The sequence below is a fragment of the Homo sapiens genome, chromosome 8, assembly GCF_000001405.40.
Source record: "Homo sapiens chromosome 8, GRCh38.p14 Primary Assembly".
Classification (NCBI taxonomy): domain Eukaryota; kingdom Metazoa; phylum Chordata; class Mammalia; order Primates; family Hominidae; genus Homo; species Homo sapiens.
Window position 1 is genome coordinate 9,926,357 of NC_000008.11, and position 6,234 is coordinate 9,932,590.

General features: G+C 44.9%; 1 non-coding gene across 1 annotated transcript; it reads right to left on the reverse strand.

Annotated features, from left to right (window-relative positions):
- Window positions 1–5,363: 5,363 nt before the first annotated feature.
- On the reverse strand, window positions 5,364–5,467 carry LOC124902082 (small nucleolar RNA U13). The gene has a single exon (XR_007061213.1). It is a non-coding gene; the product is annotated as a small nucleolar RNA U13 (small nucleolar RNA).
- Between the last annotated feature and the right edge of the window lie 767 nt (window positions 5,468–6,234).

Genomic DNA, 6,234 nt, shown 5'->3' on the forward strand with positions numbered 1-6,234 from the left:
GACAGCTCAGGACCTTGCAGAAAGCCTGTGGGTCTGTATGAGTAATTGTCATGTGCTTCCACCCATCCCCCAGCTCCCTTCATGTCACTTCCACTCATTGCTGTCACATCTTTGGGATGATTTGACTTTCCTTTAGCATTCTTAAGACAGACTGCCTTGTGTTGCCTCGAAAGGAGGGTAAGCCATATCATTACTCAGTCTGAGGACAATGCAATTCTTGCCTATATGCTCCTACAGGCTTTTAATCGCTCAGTAGTCATTCCGTTGTGTCCTAGCATGGTTTGTGCAATGATCACTCTATTTCCCCCCTCTTTTTTTTTTAACACTACCCCAATCTTGTTCATGTATCCTCCATTCCCTATGTAACCATGTGCCTGTGGAGAGCTGACCTCACCCTCAGCTCCAGAGTGGTTTTGACTGGGGAAAGGGTATATTTCCCCTTGGCTGGTGGTTAGTACTGCAAGGTCTCAGGAAAAGGCTTTCTTGCCTCTAAAGGATGATGAAGGGTCTGGATGAGATGCTAAGAATTATTCCTGCCATTCTATTATTAAAGCCAACTCTGAGGATGACAGGGAAGAGAGATGAAAAGAACCCGAGTCCTTGATGACACTGCCAAGCCACCAAATCAATCAATTCTGAAAACCTGCATTTCTACTGGCCTTCCTGTTATGTGAGCTAATAAAGTTCTTTATTGATTGAACAGGGGTTTCTGTTACTTGCAGCTAAACGCATTCTGATAGACTCAGTTGCTTGTCAGGAGATGGGTCTAGGTCATTTGTCAGAGATACAAAGCAAATTTGACCTGCTATTGAACCCCACAAGTAGTACCCCAAAATAATCTATGGTGCTTCTTCAACCAACAGCATTTTGAAAACTCACTCCTGCCATTCTTAGCCACTTGTGTCAGATGACATTCGGTGGCAGTAGGTTGAGGACATAGTCTGCCAGTTTGTGGATTCTATTAGGTGTTCGGATTCCTTCTTAATCATTGTCCTATTTCCTCTAGGTGCCAAGCCTTATTTTATAACTTAATTGCTTGATTTGTGTTGTTTTCTTTGCTTTGGTAGGAAGGATGTCCTGTAGTGACATTGAACAAAGGTCCTACCGGGGAAGGAGATCTTTGGCAAGTATTAGGTTGGTGCAAAAAGTAATTGTGGTTTTTGCCATTAAAAGCAATTATTTTTTGCGCCAACTTAATAGAAGGACTCAAAACTCCTTGGAATCCAGTTTTGAAGCCCAAGATCCTGTGTATAAAGGGTTCCTTGGGGTGACATTTATTAGTCTTCCTGCAAGGAGCATTTTGAGAGGATATCATGTTTACCGTTCTATGCAAGGCTCTTTAACTTATGACCTCTCAGCTGGAACAATAATTTCCTCCTCTTGACTCTGGGGTATTGCCTGCTTCACAGGAGTGACAGACAATGGAGGAAGCCATGTTTAGAGACTGCTTGATTCCTCACACCTGTAGATAGGTGACTGATACACCACTAGATAGAAACTAGAAAATAAATGACAGATGGGGAAACTGAGGAACAAAAGAGGCTACAAGGAGATTAATTCCATATTTCAAATAGATCCAATAATAACATACAGCCCAGAAATAATGCGAAGCACTTCCCACGTGCAAGATTTTGTGGGATAGATATTTTCCTTCTCCTTCAGGGTTGGGGAAGTCCATGATATAAACAAGAATAAAGTTACTTTTAACGATGAAACTACCACGCCCGGCCTGCTCAGGGATTTTAACTCAGGCCTGTTGGGCACCAAAGGTTTTAAGTGTGAAAACTTACAGCTGCTGAATTATTAGAATGTTACTTAGCTCTCCAAACCCTACCAGTTTGAGAGTGATTCTGACAACAGGTAAGTAGAGCGTTTAGTCTAAACATATGAATAAAGTATTGGATGAATTCTTATTAAATAGTGTCTAGGCTGGGTGCGGTGGCTTATGCCTGTAATCCCAGCACTTTGGGAGGCCGAGGTGGATGGATCACCTGATGTCAGGAGTTTGAAACCAGCCTGGCCAACATGGTGGAGCCCCATCTCTACTTAAAATACAAAAATTAGCTGGGCGTTGTGGCGCATGCCTGTAATCCCAGCTACTCAGGAGGCTAAGGCAGGAGAATCACTTGAACCTGGGAGGCAGAGGTTGCAGTGAGCTGAGATCGTGCCCCTCCCTCCAGCCTGGGCGACAGAGCAAGACTCTGTCTCAAAAAATAATAAGTAAATAAATAAATAAATAAATAGTGTCTACTGTGCTCAATTTTTGAGTGTACTGATTGTGCTAGGATGTTCTAGAATTGCACCCCCAGGCCATTTCTTTCTTTTTAATTTATATGCTGCCAAAGGCTGGGACTACTGGAAATTCCAAATGAATTTTCCTCTGCAGTTTGGGCTAAGAGCTGGGAGTGCTAATTCACAGATGCCTAAACAAACACCGTTTGACATCCTTGGCCTTACCTACAAAATGGGAAGCTGATTACTAAAAAGCATGCTCCATAAGCAAGAGCTCTGTCTCTTCTCCTTTCATCTTTGAGTGGTCTGGCCAAGTTGGAAATTGGTACGTGTCTCTGTTTCAGAACTCCCAACAGATCCCTCTGTATTGAGAACTGGTCAATGTGATGTAAACCACAGTTTCTAAGTATAAAAACGTGGTAAATTTGAGACATGGAATTCAAAGCTGAATGTTAAAAACATTTGAAATACAAGTACTAGAATATCAACACACAAAGCAAAGAGTCGGAGTCCTCCAGTACCTTATTTTAAGTAATCTAGGACAGAGAACCAGAGAGTGTTGGATTTAAAATGGGCCTGTCCAGACTGTTCTCAGCCCTGAGTTTGAGGAAATATTAAATAACTTGCTAAAATCACACAGCTATTCAATGCAAGGAGAGCTGAGCTTTAAACCCAAGTCTGTCTGATTCCAAAGGGCGTTTTCTTTTCACTGTATCATTGTGCTAAGAGCAAGCAGCGTCACACAGGGTCTTAGTCCATTTGGGCGGCTGTAACCAATGGAGATGTGACAGATGGGGAAATTGACGAACAGACCATAAGCAGCTTAGCTGAAGAACAGCAGAAATTTATTTCTCACAGTTCTGGAGGCTGTGAAGTCCAAGCTCAAGATAGATTTGGTGTCTGGTGAGGGCCCATTTTCTGGCTCATGGATGGCAAATTCTTCTTGCTGTATCCCTACTGGCAAAAGGGGTGAATGAGCTCTCTGTAGTTTCCTTTATAAGGACACTAATCCCACTCTGAAGACTCCACCCTCGTGACCTAATCACCTCCCAAAGACCCCACCTACTAATGCCATCACCGTGGGGGTTACGATTTCAACAGAAGTTTTGGAGGGACACAGACCACAGTATGGAGAAAATCAAATGAGAGAATGATGAAACAAAGCATACGCTGAGCATCTTATAAGGGGCATGGAAAATGTTCCTCACTGGAGCAGGAAAGGGGGACATGATACCTAGAGGCTGTTTTGAACAGAAACTCCTTCCCTTCCATTCGCTTCATCTCTGTGGGCTACTGTTTGCCCCTGTGGAAGATGCCAGGTGGGTGTTGGGTAGGAGGATAAACTTAGAACAGGGATGTCCTTCTCAGCTCTAATAGTCTAGAGACCTGGGGGCTTATTTGTTTCTTTCTTTATTTTTTTAGACAAGGTCTTACTCTGTTGCCTCACCTAGAATGCAGTGGAAAGATTCCAGTTCACTGCAACCTCTGCCTCCTGGGTTCAAGCGATTCTCTTACCTCAATCTCCCAAGTAGCTGGGACTACAGGTGCCTGCCACTACACTTGGCTAATTTTTTGTATTTTTAGTAGAGACGGGGTTTCATCATGTTGGCCAGGCTAGTTTTGATCTCCTAACCTCAAGTGATCTACCTACCTCTGCCTCCCAAAGTGTTGGGATTACAGGCATGAGCTACCACACCTGACCCTTTTTCTTGATCTTTTAAACTTGATGGGGCAAACCATGGCTCTCATGTAAATTCCAACTTACCTGTAACAGTGCCAGTGGTGTGATAGCCTTAGCTTTCACGCCAGGCAGGAGAAGAGAAGAGAGGGAGCAGGTTCTGCCACAGGGGTGGAGGCATCAGCCTCACTCCTTGTCTGACCCTACAGAGAACTGTCCCTGTCCCCTCTCTGCTCTCCCACTATGATCCTGGGGAGGAGAATGAGATCATGTCTGAAAAGTAAACAGAACTTCTTAGAGCAAGAAGCTGAATAACTTCGAGGCCTGCAAATGCCATCATCTGTCTCTAATTTCTAATCCTCATTCAAAGACCAGATCGAGTTGATCTTTTAAAAGAACTGGTCGGGGTCAGCTCTTTTTTTTTTTTTTTTGAGACAGAGTTTCCCTCTGTTACCCAGGCTGGAATTCAGTGGCATGATCTCGGCTCTCGGCTCACTGCAACCTCCGCCTCCCAGGTTCAAGCTATTCTCCTGCCTCATCCTCCCCAATAGCTGGGATTATAGGTGGCCACCACCTCGCCTGGCTAATTTTTGTATTTTTAGTAGAGACAAGGTTTCACCACGTTGTCCAGGCTGGTCTTGAACTCCTGACCCCAGGTGATCCGCCTGCCTTGGCCTCCCAAAGCGCTGGGATTATAGGTGTGAGCCACCATGCTCAGCCACTGAACTGGTCACCTCTTGAATCAAAGAGCTGAACCTCTTATTTTCCTCTTCTGGGCTTTCAAATGGTGATAAGAGCCCCTAATACCATGGCAACAGAAGCTGTGGAAAACCTAACCCAGAAATGTGGGATGGAAGGGACTCCTTTGGAGTTGGCAGCCTCTGAGGAACAAGAGGGTCATCTCCCTGAAGGCCTTTTTCTCCATTTTGACATTGCCCACTGCAGCTAAGATTTTAAGGAGCAAAAAACGTGGGCTCTGGTGTCATGCAGTGCTCAGTGTAAATGCCAGCTTTGATCCTTCCTGGCTTTGTGGTCTCTGAGCCGATGTTGCAGGATTGTTGTGTAGATTATGCCAGAGGATGGATACTTGGAAGTGCTTGGCACATATTAGATGCTCAACACATAGAAATCATTGTGGCCTGTTTTGTTTGTTTGTTTGTTTGTTTGTTTGTTTTTTCTGAGACAGGGTCGAGCTTTGTTGCCCAGGCTGCAGTTCAGTGGCACAAATATAACTCACTATACTCTCAACCTCCCAGGCTCAAGTGATCCTCCCACCTACAGGTGTGTGCACCACACCAGGCTAATTTTTTTTTTTTTTTAAAGATGGGGTCTCGCTATATTGCCCAGGCTGGTCTCAAACTCCTGGGTTCAACTGATCCTCCTGCCACACCCTCCCAAGATGCTGGGATTACAGGCGTGAGCTGCTGTCCCTGGCCTTTTTTCTTTTTCTTCCCATCAGATGGGTAATGGGCAGACATCGTAACAAGGTTTCAATGAGGCACATCTCACACAATCGCCTGAAAACCCAATCATCATGCTTATGAACCACAAAAGGACCTGGCCTGTTTTAAAGACTGTTTTTTTTTTTTTTTTTTTTTTTTTATCTCTTGCTGTAAGTTCACTCTGGCAGCCTCTGATGATGAGGTTCGAGGTAGGAGTGAGAATAAGCATCCATATGTCAGGCTTACTTCGAGCTAGAAAGATCCAGGCAAAACCTGACGGAAATTTTCCTTGTTTATGCGGCTCTTCTCTGCTCAAGATATATTGATAATGGAGGGAAGAGAAAATCTGTAGATGGAGAACTGGGAATCAGAATACCTGGATTCCTACAGCCCTGACTCCCAGAGAGATCCTGGGCCAGTCGTTTCCTCTCGCTGGCTTTGGACTCTGCTCTGTCCTGTGGGTTTAAAAAGTTGAAAGCTCTTTAGAAAAAGCACGTATTAGAGTTTGGATGAGATGATCCTCCTCTGCAAAATATCTTTCTACTTAGCTCCCTGATGACTGCAATTCTATGCCAGCGCCTCCTCCCCTGGAGTCTGGAGTCAAATAAGGGTTTTGTCTGCTTGGACAAATGCAATCACTGATGAATCACTGAGTACATCATGGCTCTGGGAAGGCTGAAAGAGGAAAGACCAGCACTGGGGTGAGAGGAGAAGAGAACACAGACAGCGGAGGCTGCCAGACCTCAATACAGCTTCCACCTTCCAGCATTTGCCAAGGGCCAGGCCATTGTCCACCGACCGACAAAGTGTCTGTGCACTGGTAGAGAGGGAGAGAGGAACTCAGGAGCTCACTGTGTACCCTTGGGAAGGCCACTCTGTCTC